The 14,517-nt window shown below is 54.9% G+C and overlaps 1 long non-coding RNA gene across 2 annotated transcripts, besides 2 other annotated features; it reads right to left on the minus strand.

The window, feature by feature from the left end:
• Positions 2,364-2,866: an enhancer, noted in NCBI's record as "H3K27ac hESC enhancer chr22:23852177-23852679 (GRCh37/hg19 assembly coordinates)". NCBI's record gives its function as "activates a minimal SCP1, AML or CMV promoter by ChIP-STARR-seq in naive H9 embryonic stem cells {active_cell/tissue: H9 hESC(naive)}" and the evidence as "EXISTENCE:reporter gene assay evidence [ECO:0000049][PMID:30033119]".
• Positions 2,867-5,708, minus strand: LINC02557 (long intergenic non-protein coding RNA 2557). 2 transcript variants are annotated; one of them, XR_007068019.1, is made up of 4 exons: positions 5,650-5,708; positions 4,778-5,017; positions 4,392-4,518; positions 2,867-3,070 (listed from the first exon to the last, which is right to left on the minus strand). It is a non-coding gene; the product is annotated as a long intergenic non-protein coding RNA 2557 (long non-coding RNA). The 2 variants fall into 2 exon arrangements; XR_938072.2 differs by having other exon boundaries at positions 4,392-5,017.
• Positions 14,156-14,515: a silencer, noted in NCBI's record as "silent region_13540". NCBI's record gives its function as "represses an Ori minimal core promoter by ATAC-STARR-seq in GM12878 lymphoblastoid cells {active_cell/tissue: GM12878}" and the evidence as "EXISTENCE:reporter gene assay evidence [ECO:0000049][PMID:35858748]".

Consider the following 14,517-nt stretch of genomic DNA (forward strand, 5'->3'; position numbering starts at 1 on the left):
CGTGAAATTAGGAAGGGCTCTGAGACTGGGGGCTGGTCACTGCAATCTCTCAGTAAATGTCAGTGTCACTATCATTTTGACACATTCTCCAGATTCTGCATTACAAGCATCAGATTCTCCTCTGAGGACAGAGGAGGGAGAGTTGGGGAGAGAGTGGACCCCATTCAGTGTATCCTTCCCCACCCCAAGTTCATATGGCTTTTAGCCAAACCTTGAGATTGGAACACCTCTGTCACTGCATCCAAAACCTTTCAGGTTTCCAAAGGGTAGTTTATTCGTCCACTTAACAAATATCTAGGGCCAGCACCATGGCTTATGCCTGTAATCCCAGCACTTTGGGAGGCCAAGGTGGGCAGGTCGATTAAGCCCAGCAGTTTGAGACCAGCCTAGGCAAGATGACAAAAGCTCATCGATACAAAAAAATGCAAAAATGGCCGGGCGCAGTGGCTCACACCTGTAATCCCAGCACTTTGGGATGCTGAGGTAGGCAGATCACCCGAGGGTCAGAAGTTCAAGACCACCCTGACCAATATGGAGAAACCCTGTCTCTACTAAAAATACAAAATTAGATGGGCATGGTGGCACATGCCTATAATCCCAGCTACTCGGGAGGCTGAGGCAGGAGAATTGCTTGAAGCTGGGAGGTAAAGGTTGCGGTAAGCCAAGATTGTGCCATTGCACTCCAGCCTGGAAAACAAGAGCAAAACTCCATCTCAAAAAAAAAAAAGCAAAAATTAGCCGGGTGTGGTAGCATGCACCTGTGGTCCCAGCTACTCGGGAGGCTGAGGTGGGAGGATCAGCTGAGCCCAGGGAGGTCAAGGCTGCAGCGTACCATGATTGTGCCACGGCACTCCAGCCTGGATGACAGAGAGAGACCCTGTCTCAAAATAAAGTAAAATGAAATAAAACTAAACTAAACTAAACTAAACATCTGTAGCTCACGATGAGAGCTGGAGAGTCCAGTGGTTAAGAACTTTAGAGCAAGATGGCCCCGGGGTCCAGTCTTGCCCTACCTGAATGACCTTGGGCAACTCACTTAACCTCTCTGAGCCACAATGTTCCCAGAAGATAGCCAGGAGGAGTCCTAAGCTCAGGACTCAGTTCAGGGCTGAGATTTGGCCGACAATGTGCACACACCTGCAGAAAGCCCGGCCACCCCAGGCACTCACTACATCCAGGTTCGGATTTGCAGGCTGTGGTGACCTCCCAGGCTCCCCACCCTCAGTGAGTTCTTGTGGATTAAGAAGGAATGGGTGGCGCCTTGAGATACCAGACTTGCCAGGTGTTACTTCTAGAAAAATAAATGAATTTAAGGGCTTTGAATATTTGAGAATGGAGAGATTTAAAAATATAAAGGTTTCTGCTGGGCGCGGTGGCTCACACCTGTAATCCCAGCACTTTGGGAGGCTGAGGTGGGCGGTTCACGAGGTCAGGAGATCGAGACCATCCTGGCTAACACGGTGAAACCCTGTCTCTACTAAAAATACAAAAAGTTAGCTGGGCGTGGTGGCGGGCGCCTACAGTCCCAGCTACTCGGGAGGCTGAGGCAGGAGAATGGTGTGAACCCGGGAGGCGGAGCTTGCAGTGAACCGAGATCACGCCACGCCACTGCAGTCCGGCCTGGGCGACAGAGTGAGACTCCATCTCAAAAAAAAAAAAAATATATATATATATATACACACACACACACACACACACATATATATATACATATATATACACATATACACATATATACACACATATATACACATATACACATATATACACATATATACATATATATACACATATATACATATATACAGATATATATATATAAAGGTTTCTTAAGATGGATAGAAGTCTTACCAATTGGATTTGTATTCTGTGGAACAGGGAGGCTTACCTAAGGTCTCTCTCTAGAAAACACAGCTCTGTTCAAAGGGAAAAGCAGGCTGGCCAACCCACGTGATGGCTCTTGAAGCTTCTCTTTTGAATGGCCTGCTAGGACTTGGGCTCCGGATTCACTGGCTAAAGCAAGTCACATGGCCAAACCTGATTTGGTGGGGAGGGGAGGTGTACCCAGCACTGGAGGCCCTGCACGTCGTGTAGCAATGGGGCAGGATGAATAGTCCTCTCACTGGGAGGACAGTGAATAACTGGAAACAGTGACCAATCTGCTACCATGCACCATCTTGGTTGCAATTATCACTCCTGTCTCTTGCGTGGGCATGGTGGATTGGAGGCGGCTGCGGATTCTTAGTCATTCCTCCCAGAAAGACATGGAGTATTTTTCTCCTCCCCTTGGATCTGGGCTGATTCCAGGACTGGCTTTCATCAACAGGATGTAGCAGAAGCGACGCTGTGTGAGTTCCCAGGCTGAGGCTGCAGAGATTTGAGGCATCTTCTCTCACCCAGCTTGAAGTCCTTCCCCTTGGAAGCCAGTCACCGTGAAAAAACTCACCATGCTGTGAGGAAGCCCAAGAGAGCTGCATGGAGAGAAGGGCCTGTGGAAGAGCTCTGAGGTGCCACTCACATGAAGTGAGCCTTTGTGGACCTTCCAGCCCAGCCACCAGCAAACACAACCCAGTAAGTGTCCCCAGTCAATGCTTCTCTCCATAGGAGACCTGTAAATGGGCGGTGGGGGGAGGAATTTTCTGGTCTCACACACTATTATGGGTTGAATTTTCCCCCTCCCAAATTCTTGTGTTGAAGCTCCCACCTCCAGTACTTTACAAAGTAACATATTTGGAGATAAGATCTTTTTTTTTTTTTTTTTTGAGACGGAGTCTTGCTGTGTCACTCAGGCTGGAGTGCCATGGTGCAATCTCGGCTCACTGCAACCTCTGCTTCCCAGGCTCAAATGATATCTTCTCGCCTCCATCATTCATTCATTCACTCACTCACTCATTCAACAAACAAACAATGGGCACCTACCCACCACGGGCCAGGCCTGCCTGGGTTCTGGGGTTCAACTGTGAGTGCACAAACACACTAACAGCCCTTGGAGGACTCACAGTCCAGGGAGGGAGGCAGACAGTGAAGACAGTGAAACATCGAGCCGGTTCATTGCCACTGCCATCCGACCCTGAAGGAGAAGTGCAGGATACGTGTGAGAGTGGAACAGGGCCCTGAGCTCCACCCGGGAGTCAGGGCAGCCTCCCCTGAGACCATTATGTTGAAGGCTGACCTGAAGGATGAGTAGGGTTATCTGTGGGGCTCCAGCAAAACACGGCATCTCTCTGGGCCTCAGTTTCCCCATTGGTAAAATGGGGAAACTCATCACAGCACAAGTGCTTAGGGGACCTTGGTGATTCTGTCGGATCTAAGAAAAGCAACAGGTGCCGGGTGCGGTGTCTCACGCCTGTAATCCTAGCACTTTGGGAGGCCGAGGTGGGTGGATCACCTGAGGTCAGTAAGTAGCTCAAGACCAGCCTGGCCAACATGGTGAAACCCCATCTCTACTAAAAACACAAAAATTAGCCAGGCGTGGTGGCTCATGCCTGTAGTCCCAGCTACTCAGGAGGCTGAGGCAGGAGAATCACTTGAACCCGGGAGGCAGAGGTAGTAGTGAGCCGAGATCATGCCACTGCACCCCATCCTGGGCCACAGAGCAAGACTCCATCTCAAAAAAAAGAAAGAAAGAAAAACAATGGGAGCCTTTAGGAAATCCCGCACAGGTACTGATTTGCTCTGTTAATTCCTCCAATGGGAAAGGGGTGTTGCTAGAGGCAAGAGGCACAGTCCTGACACAGAGATCAGGGATTTGACCCCACCAGGCCAAAGTCAAAAGCAGAGATCAGTGAAGTCAGATCCCACAGAGGCCTGTGGCCATGTCCCCCGGCCCTCTGCAGGTCCCCTGGCCCAGAGCCCTCTCCTCCTGCTGCCCCCTAATGTTTCTCCAGGCCCTGCTGCTCTGTCCCGTCACTCTGTCCACCTCATCTGTGGTGCCTGAAGGTCCCCTCTTGGGCTGTGGGTGTCATTCTTGTCTGATCACCGCCTCCCCCACCACACACACCGCCAACCCCAAATACAGGTTTGGCTTCCACAAAGCCTCTTATTAAGAAATTGGTCAATTTCCTGCTAATTAAAATAAATAGTATGCCACATTAACGGCCAGTTAATTTTCAGAGCTGCCAGGGAAACATCGCCTGGAAAATGTACACCCCTCTGCCCCACCCGCTCCTCGGCAAACGGCAGCCACGTGGCACCCAGCAGCAGCGGGGAGGGCCCGGTGGGTCCCAAGCTTCCAGCAGCATGGGGAGGAAGGGATGACCAGCTGTGGACAGGGCTGCAGATGGGCAGAGCTTCCTGTTCCTGGGGGGACTCGACTCACTCAGCCCAGGAGCTCTGAGACCCCATCCCTCCCCAGGAAACCCAGGCCCTGAGGCCAGGTCTACCTGGCTTACCTTGCAACCAAAGGCGAGATCTTTCTCCGGAACCGGGTCATTTGTTGGTGAGGAAGATGGACTTCTGGGAGGCCTGCGCTCACAAGGCTCTACATCCCGAAGTGATCTCACCAAGGGGCACAACAGCCTGGAGAGGGAAGTGCCATTGCTCCCATTTTGCAGATGGGCAAGATGAGGCCCAGAGCCACCAAGCCCCTCTCGAGTTGCAGCTTCTGGGGGCAGAGCAGGATGTACATCTGGTCCCGCCTAACTATACCCAGAGAAACCTGCCGTGGGCCCTTCTCCATCACACATGGTCATCCCACACTATCACAAAGGTCAGGGGAACCGCTATGTCTGCATAAAAACAAGTGTCATCAGTTGGATTTGTTCAAGGTGAGGCTTACCTGCTCCCTAATATATCGAAAGCTCCTGTTGAAGGAGAGTCAGGGACATGCCAGGAGGCCTGCCATGCTGTGACCAGTTGTCATCTCACCGAATCCTCACCAGTACCACGTGGCTCAGCAAGGTTAGGTAACATACTCAAAGTCACACCGCCTGCCCCCAAATTAGTCATGGCAATCTCCTGTCTTCAAGGTCCAAGTTTTGCTGTTTCCTCAGGGTCAAAACCAAGGTCTTCTCCTGTCCTGGAAGAACATCAAGCCATAGATGGAACTCTGCGTTCCTGGTGTGACCTCAGACAAGGCTCTTTGCCTCCCTGGGCCTCAGTTTTCTCATCTGCCAAATGGGAAGGCTGGACTCACTACTCCCTCAGACTCTGTTTAACTCGAGCATTCTGCAGGGACTCATCCTGGGGCAGGTGGGGTCAGAGGGCAGATGGCCAGGAGCAGAGCCAGATGGGAGCAACAGCCTTCCCTCTGCCAGGACAGGGAGAGACCTGGCTGCCTCACAGTGAGAGGTCTGGCAGCCAGGGAGGGCACTGGGGACAAGGGCCCAGCCGGGCACCCTATGGAGCACATGACCCCCACCTGTCCATGGAGCACACGACCTCCACCTCCAGCTGCCCCTGTGCTGCAGACAACTCCCAGGGTGGCGAGGGTGGCATCCTGATCCCAGCAGCGCCTGCAGGACTGGGAACCTGCTGCCCACCCACCCCCTGCCACTTGCTCTCCCTTCCTTGCCCAACCCCAGGAGCTCAATGCCTGCTCAGGGCAGGAATAAGAGGCAGAGGAGGGGTGAGGAGAGAAAGGAGTCATTAGGGGCCTTGCTGATCCTTCGTGGCGCCTCCATGTCCCTATCCCTCATGCAAAGCACTAACCTGGAGGCGGAGCATTTCATCGAAGCAAAGCATCTCCTGCCACCAAGCACGTCCACGGTATTGGGGATTGATTGCTTCTATCCTCCAGCCCACTCTACGGAGCACCCACCGTGTGACAGGCGCGGCGCTGGGCAACGAGGATAAGAAAATGAATAGGCCACGACATGTGCGCCTGAGAAGTCACAGACTCAGACAGGAGACAGGCTCGATACCACACACCAAGGTCTGGATGCACACAGGACACTGAGTAACTCCTGCAGGGTGAGCGGGTTTCCAGGGCACTCGACAACCGGCAGAGTCTGGAAGCAGCCTGGAGGGGAAAGGGCATTCCTGACGGGGGCACAGCAGAAGCAAAGGCCCAGTGGCATGAAAGACCAAGGAGTGTTGAGGGAACAGAGAGCAGCTTGGTGTTGGGGCGGCATCAGCGGGTGGAGCTGGAGCCGATGAGAAAGGATAGGCCAACTAGGGTTCAAGTGGCCAAGACCTTCTATGCCCTGCTCTGCCAGTTACAGCCAGCAGTGGTGGTAAGCACAGCCACCCGGCACTGAACAATGGCAGTGTGGCCGGCACTGTGCTAAGCTCATCTCAGTCACTCGCTCACCACATCCTCCAACGAGCCCATGAGGCCCAGAGAGGTTAGGCGAGTTACTGGTGGTCACACAGCCGATAGTGGCCAGGCTGGAACTTGGACTCAGGCTCCCAATTCTCACCCACCAGCATGTGCTGCCTCTGAGGAGTTTGGGGTTCCCCTTCAGGACAACTGGGAGTCACAAGGGATTTTTAAGGGGGGTGGGTAGCAGAGTCTCAGTGCCCTAAATCCCCAAGTCATGCTCATGGAGAAACTGCTGCATCCACCTGGGAGACGTGGCCAGTCTGTTTTTAGGGTCTGAGGGTCACCTTGGCCTCTCCGGGAGCTGCCCTGGTTTCCCCAATGCTCCTGAGTACTGGGGCTTGGCCTGCGTCTTCTGCCCCAGCCTGCTGCTCCTGGGTTCCAGTCTTGGAGCCAGGGGTCATCACTGCCAGGGCCTCTTCAGAACTCAGGCGCCCACCTATCAGGGCCTCAGCCCCTCCAACACTCCCTGGGGCCCCCACATTGCCCACCCTCTCTTCCCTCTGCCCTTCCTTGCTCGAGATAACACCTGGGATGGGGGTGCATGGGGAAGCGCCCCCTGATGGAGCTAGACAGCCCTCGGGAGGGAGTTAGACAGCCCTCGGGAAGATCCAGCAGTGGTGGCCTCTCCTTGCCCTTCCCCATGTCCTCCCTCTCCCCTCTGCCCACCCAGCCTCCCACCACATGGGGCACTGGAGTGCTCCTTCCCACCATCTGCCCTCCTGGGCTCCGCTTTCATTCTGCTCCCCCGACCCCAGGTCTCAGCATTGCAGGCATCACAAGACAGCGGATTCCAGAGGCCCCAAAACACTTCCATCCTCCAAGCACGCACTGAGCATATGGAGAAGCTGAGGCCCAAGCAGGGCCAATGGCAGAGCAGCTGGAAGCCCAGCTCTCTTGTGCTCTTGCTGCAGCTCCAGCTCCTGGTCGGCCGTCCACCAGGCATCTGCTGAGCGCGATGTGTTTCCATTTAGGGGCATCTCACACTTGATCCTCACTCCAGCCCAGAGGAGGCTGGGTTAAAACAGGAAGGCTGGGCTGTCCAGCTCTAGCTCCTTCTAAAAATGCAGTGAGTCCCATGTTGGCATCTCTGCTTCGCAAACAGGTAAAACGAGGCAAGCAGTAGGTCAATGACTTGCTGTCTCTGGTCGTGTGTCAGGCAACCACAGTCACACAGTCACGAGGGTCTCCTGTCTGAGATCCTGCCTATTCTTTTTTTTTTGAGACGGAGTCTTGCTCTGTCTCCCAGGCTGGAGTGCAGTGGTGCGATCTTGGCTCACTGCAAGCTCCGCCTCCCGGGTTCACACCATTCTCCTGCCTCAGCCTCCCCAGCAGCTGGGACTACGGGCACCTGCAACCACGCCTGGCTAATTTTTTTGTATTTTTAGTAGACACGGGGTTTCACTGTGTTAGCCAGGAAGGTCTCGATCTCCTGACCTCGTGATCCACCTGCCTCAGCCTCCCAAAGCGCTGGGATTACAGGCGTGAGCCACTGCGCCCGGCCAATCCTGCCTATTCTTTAGTGTTAAGGCCAGGAAATGCCTTAGTGTAGACTCCTCTCCCTGTGAATGTGGCAGACATTACTAATTGATCACAGCACTCTTTCCCTCTAAGCCGAGATGTAGTCTCAGAATCCTCAACACAGCCTCTATTAAATGGGGACCTGGCAATCGAGGTGACACCTACCTGTTCAACGCCCTCTCTGGAGGGCAGGATCCTGTCTTACCTAGTATCTTCCCCAGCACTTGGCTCAGGGCCCAACACGTGGCACAGATCACGGTAATAAATTTTTTTTTTTTTTGAGTTGGAGTGTTGCTCTATCGCCCAGGCTGCAGTGCAGTGGTGCGATCTCGGCTCACTGCAAGCTCCGCCTCCTGGGTTCACGCCATTCTCCTGCCTCAGCCTCCCAAATAGCTGGGACTACAGGCACCCGCCACCATGCCTGGCTAAGTTTTTGTATTTTTAGTAGAGATGGGGTTTCACCGTCTTAGCCGGGATGGTTTCGATCTGCTGACCTCATGATCCACCCGCCTCGGCCTCCCAAAGTGCTGGGATTACAGGCGTGAGCCACCTTACCTGGCCATTTTTTTTTTTTTTTTTGAGACAGAGTTTTGCTCTGGTTGCTCAGGCTGGAGTGCAATGGCACAATCTCAGCTCACTGCAACCTCGGCTTCCAGGGTTCAAGCGATTCTCCTGCCTCAGCCTCCCAAATAGCTGGGATTACAGGTGCCCGCCACCATGCCTGGCTAATTTTTGTATTTTTAGTAGAAACAGGGTTTCACCATGTTGGCCAGGCTGGTCTCGAACTCCTGACCTCAGGTGATCCGCCCGCCTCGGCCTCCCAAGGTGCTGAGATTACAGGTGTGAGCCACCATGCCCAGCCACAGTAATAAATTTTTATTGAGTGAGTGGGTGAACGAGTGGTAACCACCGAATGAACGATGCCTCCCAAAGCCAGTGGCTCTAACCAGCTTCTTTTGTAGCAACAATATGACAGCAATAATTATAACAGTAATGCCCCCAACAGCTGACATTTCCCGAGTCTCTAAGGTATTTCATCTGAGCTCTGGAATGCCATTTCCTCAGGGTCACACATCACAGGACAGAGCCAGACCCCGCCCCTGGCCTCTTGCTTCTGAGTCCAGTGCTCTGCCCCGGCCCCCACCTCTGCCAGGTCCCACCGCAGCTTGTCTGGGTCAATTGGAGCGGACCTGGACCTCAATCTGGGGAACCTGCAGGTGTTGGAGGCAGATCCCAGAGGCCGGGGTGGGAATGGGTGCTCGGGGGAGTAGTTAGTTGGGTTCTTACTCACCTGTTTGGGATTGTAGAAATACAGAATAGGAGACATCACAATGCACCACATTTACCATGACCTGACCCCCCTCCCCCCAAAATTCGTATGTCAAGACATAATCTGCGTCAAGCTTGGTGGCTCATGCCTGTAATCCCAGCACCTTGGGAGGCTGAGGCGGGTGGATCACCTGAGGTCAGGAGTTCCAGACCAGCCTGGCCAACATGGTGAAACCCCGTCTCTACAAAAAATGCAAAAATTAGCCAGGTGTGGTGGCACATACCTGTAATCTCAGCTACTCGGGAAGCTGAGGAGGGAGGATTGCTTGAACCTGGGAGGCCGAGACTGTAGTGAGTCAAGATGAGGTCACTGCACTGCAGCCTGGGTGACAGAGGGAGACCCTGTCTCAAAACAAACAAACAAAAACCAAACCAAACCAAACCAAAACAAAAAAACACCATTATCTGCAATGTGTATTAAAAGGTGAGGATTCTGGCCTGGGGCAATGGCTCACGCCTGTAATCCCAGCACTTTGGGAGGCCGAAGTGGGTGGATCACGAGGTCAGGAGATCAAGACCATCCTGGCTAACACGGTGAAACCCCATCTCTACTAAAAATACAAAAAATTAGCCAGGCATGGTGGGGGGGCGCCTGTAGTCCCAGCTACTGGGGAGGCTGAGGCAGGAGAATGGTGTGAACCCGGGAGGTGGAGCTTGCAGTGAGCTGAGATCGCGCCACTGCACTCCAGCCTGGGCAACAGAGTGAGACTCCGTCTCAAAAAAAAAAAAAAAAAAAAGAGGTGAGGCTTCTGGGAGGTGATTAGGTCATGAGGGCTCTATCCTCATGAATGGAATTCATGCTCTTAGGCAAGAGGCCTGGGGAGCCTGCTCACCCCTTCCACCACGTGAGGACAAGGCTATAAGGCATCTATGAGGAAACGGCCCTCATCAGACACCGAATCTGCAGGCACATTCATCTTGGATTTCCCAGCCTCCAGAACTGTGAACAATAAATTTGTTTATAAATAACCCAGTCTAAGGTATTTTGTCATAACAGCCGAATGGACAAGCACACCCTTTTTTGAATATGTAGAAGAGAGGTCCCCAGGGAGTGTGATCGGCCCAAGGTCACCTGGCGGCCTTGGCTGAGGAAGGTGTGCAGAGCCCAGTGTCAGAGCCCCTGAGATGCCCTCTCCTCTCCTAGGGCCCTGGGCACTTGGGGTTAGTTGTTTTGCATCCTTTTGAGAATGTGAGTCCCTCAGAGGGAGGAACCTGGGCACGTCACATAAGGCTTGGCTCAAGATAGGTGCTCAGTAAACACTGGATGGACAGATGGGCAGAAGGAAGGAGAGAATGAAAGGAGGAAAGGAGGGAAGGAATGGGTAGCTGAGTGGATTCATGGATGGGTGGATGCATGGCAGCACGGGAGGGAGGATGAGTGATTGGGAGGATGGATGGATGGATGGATGGATGGATGGATGGATGAAAGGAAGTAAGCCAACATGGATGGAATGAGTGATGGAATTGATTGTCCCCTGCACCTGGAGGCTTCCAGTGACTCAGCCACAGAGGTCAGGAAGCTGGAGACATGAGCAGGCGGCTCACCCCATGGTCCCCTCCCCCTCCCCACCTGATATTTTCATCAGGACACATCTTCTGCACCAGGCCCCTCAGCTCCTGCCCTGCAAAGCTGCAGATGCCTCTGCTGGCTTTATTAAGGCCCTATTAGCCCAGCAGCCCCAGGGAAGGCTAAAGATGCTGTCACTGCAGACACTGGTTTGGTAGCCTCAGAGGAGCTCAGTAGGGAGGGCCAGGAACCTAAGGTTACAGCGAGGTCTTTAGAGCTGCACAGGCCTGCCTGGTTTAATCCCAGTTCTTCTGCTAATTGGCTGTGTGGCCTTGGGCAACTTACTTCCCTTCTCGGAGTGGCGGCTTCTCCACCTATAAAACAGGGTCATTAACGTGCTTGTTTGAGGATTTGCTGAGCTAAAGCATTTACAACACCTAGCCCAAAGTAAGCACTTGTTACATATCCCAGGATCCCTGGGAGCCAGGTCCACGGTGGAGCGCTCATACACAGCAGCCCCCATCTTTGGGATCAGGGAGGCGCTGTGACCCACCCTATTTCATGGATGAGGAAACAGGATAACAGGAGATGAAATGCTTGGCCAAAGCCACCGTGCTGGGCAGTGACAGGGCTGAGATTCAAACATGGGCTATGGAGACCGTGACTGGGCCACTTCCTGTTCCGGCTACTGAGCAGGAACAAAGCCTGGGACGGGAGCGGGGGGCTGGAGGGGCGCTTCTCCCACTAGCTCCTCAGAGGTGACAGCGCGGAGGAGGGGAGGAGAAGGGAAGCTGGGACAATCACGCTGATGTACGGCTTCCAGCGGGATTAACTGCACCATCTGGAGGCCACGCGTCCACCTGGGTGGGTTAGGAACCCCAACCCTTCGGTGTAAACGGCAGGGGGAGACTCAGTGGATGGCAGATCGGCTGGGGGCTGCCGGGTTGACTGTGGGGACCATGTGGGGCCCACCTGGCTTTCCTGAAGCCCCCATCTACCCCTGAGGATGTCTCCCACTGAGGGGGCTGGATCTCCACCAGACTCAGAAGATTCCACAATGGCTGGATCCAAGGGTTCAAATACAAAGGGAGGGCTGTGGCCTGAGCCACCAAAAAGTACAGGAGGTGAGCAGGAAGAGCGGGGGAACAACAGAGACAGGAGCAGCAGCTGGACACTCGCTCTCAGGGGTGTGTGATGGAGACTGCACCACCTTCCAGCTGTGTGTCCCCAGCATGTGGCTTCACTTCTCTGAGGCTCTGTCCCTTCATCTGTGAAACTGGGATCTAGTCTTTACCTCACTTGGTTGCTTTGAGGGTCGAATTAGATAAGGCAATGTACAGGCCTCGGTGGAGTGCCTGGCACTGAGTAAGTTCACAGTCAGTGGTGGTTGTGATTATTATCCCCATTTGCAAGATGGGAAGACTGAGGCTCAAAGCAGCTCAGGGACTTGTGTCGGATTACACAGTTGGTTGGTGACAGAACCCATGGCCTCTGCTTCTCCTGACCCCAGTCCAGTGCTCTTTTCCTGGAGGCTTGACCAAAGATGAACCTGTCCTGGGACACAGCCAGCCCCGGAGTGTCAGAGACCCAAGGTGGCCATCTTGGGTCACACCAGCTCCAATGACAGATTCCATGTTCTAGCACCTACTGTGCACCAGATGCCATGCCACGAGCTTCTGTGCACCACCGCCAGGAGCCATCACCATCTGTGACAGGGGCACTGCGCTGTCCCCGTCGTCCAGATGCACAAGCAGTGGTTTTGGCAGAGCCAGGATCCACTGCCAGGCCTCTCTGGTCCTGGAGTCCCCATTCTCAGCACAGGCTGCTGCCCGCTGGGCCAAGATGGGGCTTCTCTACACTGCAGCAACAGCTCCCAGGCGCCCTCCCACCAAGTGTTCATCTTCTCCTTCAAGGAGAGATGGCAATACAACACCCAGACTGCCACTGTGGACCCTAAGTCTTTCTTTTTTTTGAGATGGAGTTTCACTCTTGTTGCCGAGGTTGGAGTTTCACTCTTGTTGCCGAGGTTGGAGTGCAATGGCGTGATCTCGGCTCACTGCAACCTCCGCCTCCCAGGTTCAAGCGATTCTCCTGCCTCAGCCTCCCGAGTAGCTGGGACTATAGGTGCCCGCCACCCCGCAACCCGGCTAAGTTTTCGTATTTTTTAGTAGAGACGGGGTTTCACCGTGTTAGCCAGGATGGTCTCGATATCCTGACCTCGTGATCTGCCCTCCTCGGCCTCCCAAAGTGCTGGGATTACAGGCTTGAGCCACCACACCCGGCCCATGGACCCTAAGTCTTCTGGACACCAGACAAGCTTCCCCTACAGGGCGGGGTTCCTTTCTCACATCTAGAAAGAAGGAGGGAGTAGGAAAGAAGAAACATCAGCCCCAGCCCCTCCCTCCCTTCAGCCAGCACAGGGCCGCAGTGGGGGCCCAGGCTGGTAGGCAATGATGGCAGGGAGGTAGTTTGAAGCAGGGGGGTCCCCTTTCCCCGCACACCCTCCCTACATTCCCATCTGGTCAGCCTGCTCGCTGAAAGTTGAAGTCTGCCTTGTACAAAAAAACAAAAACCTCCCTTTCCAGTGTAGAAAGCCCCAGAGACCCGAGCCACTCTGCTTGCCTTCTCTCTTGGCCCTTATGGCCAGGACAGGGGCCGGGGAAATGACAGCTGCCCTGTGCAGGGGAGAGAAATCGTATTCTTTGGCTTGGCTCCTCTCTGGGGCCATACCCCAGGAGCAGCCCACGGAGCCGGTCCCCACTGACTCCCACCAGCCACTGCCGGGAGTAGGGCCAGATGGGGCGGCTCCGGATCCCGCCTCGCTCGGCAGGCCAGGCCCGGAGACCTGTCCCCCTGGTACCTCCCGGCCTGGCCATCCGAGATGACCCTTGCCCCTTCCCCACAGCCCAGACCTCTGATCCTTATTAAAAACAAACAAAATCTAGAGAAAAAAATTATCCACAAACAGCCTGAGAGATGATCGCGCGTCCCCGGCGCACGCAGACACGCACACATACACACACGCACACCCACGCGAGGTCGCCTCCACTTAAACATGCTGCTGGAGGGCGGGTTTTGTTTATGGAACATCCACGTTTCTCTCAACTTTGGGAGGGGTGAGGACTGTTTCAGAGTTTTCTGCTAGATGGGGGAGCCTGGGGCGGCAAGGATGTCTTTTCTGCTTTGTGCTCTTTGCCGGTTCAATGGGGGAGTGAGATACGTGGACAGAAGGACCAGGAAACCCAGGAAGGGGGCCCCAGGGCAGCACCCCCACCCCCAGGGGAGGTCAGGCTCCGGGAGGGCAGCCCCGGGGCCTGGGAAGCCTGGACTGCGCCTGAGCTCCGGAGGATAGGGCTGGTGGCCCGCGTCCCCTCGGCGACCCCGCGCTGAGCCCAGGGTCTGTAGTTCCGAAAACGTCTGGGACCGCTGGGCCGGGATCCCTACCCCCTCCTCTCCCAGCCTTCAACGCCTGGAAACCAACGAACCCGCCCGGAACAAAGGCAGGCCGGCTTTCCAAAGGCAAACAAAGAACAGTTTGTCTTTTCCCTCCCCCCACCACCACCCGAGCAGGCGGCGGGAATAGGCCTAGGGGTCCGGATGGCCCCGGCGCGGCGCGGCGCCAGGGCACTCCCACGGCGCCCCCCAAGGTCCCGCTGCGAATGCGCAGGTCGGGGCGCCGGAGGCCGCGGCAGACAGCGCGGCGCCACTCCGGCCCGGTCTCCGTGGCAACGGGCTGGTGGGAGGGGCCGGGCGGTGCGGGCGCCTTGGCCGCTGTTCCTCGCGGGCACGTCGCTATGGCAACGATGTTACTCTCTGCGGCCGCTTTCCGGCTCCGCTAGCTCGCCTGACCCTGGCCGCTCGAGCCCCCTCGTCTCTCACTTGCTGTGTTTTCCCCTCTTTT

Source organism: Homo sapiens, chromosome 22, assembly GCF_000001405.40.
Source record: "Homo sapiens chromosome 22, GRCh38.p14 Primary Assembly".
NCBI lineage: Eukaryota > Metazoa > Chordata > Mammalia > Primates > Hominidae > Homo > Homo sapiens.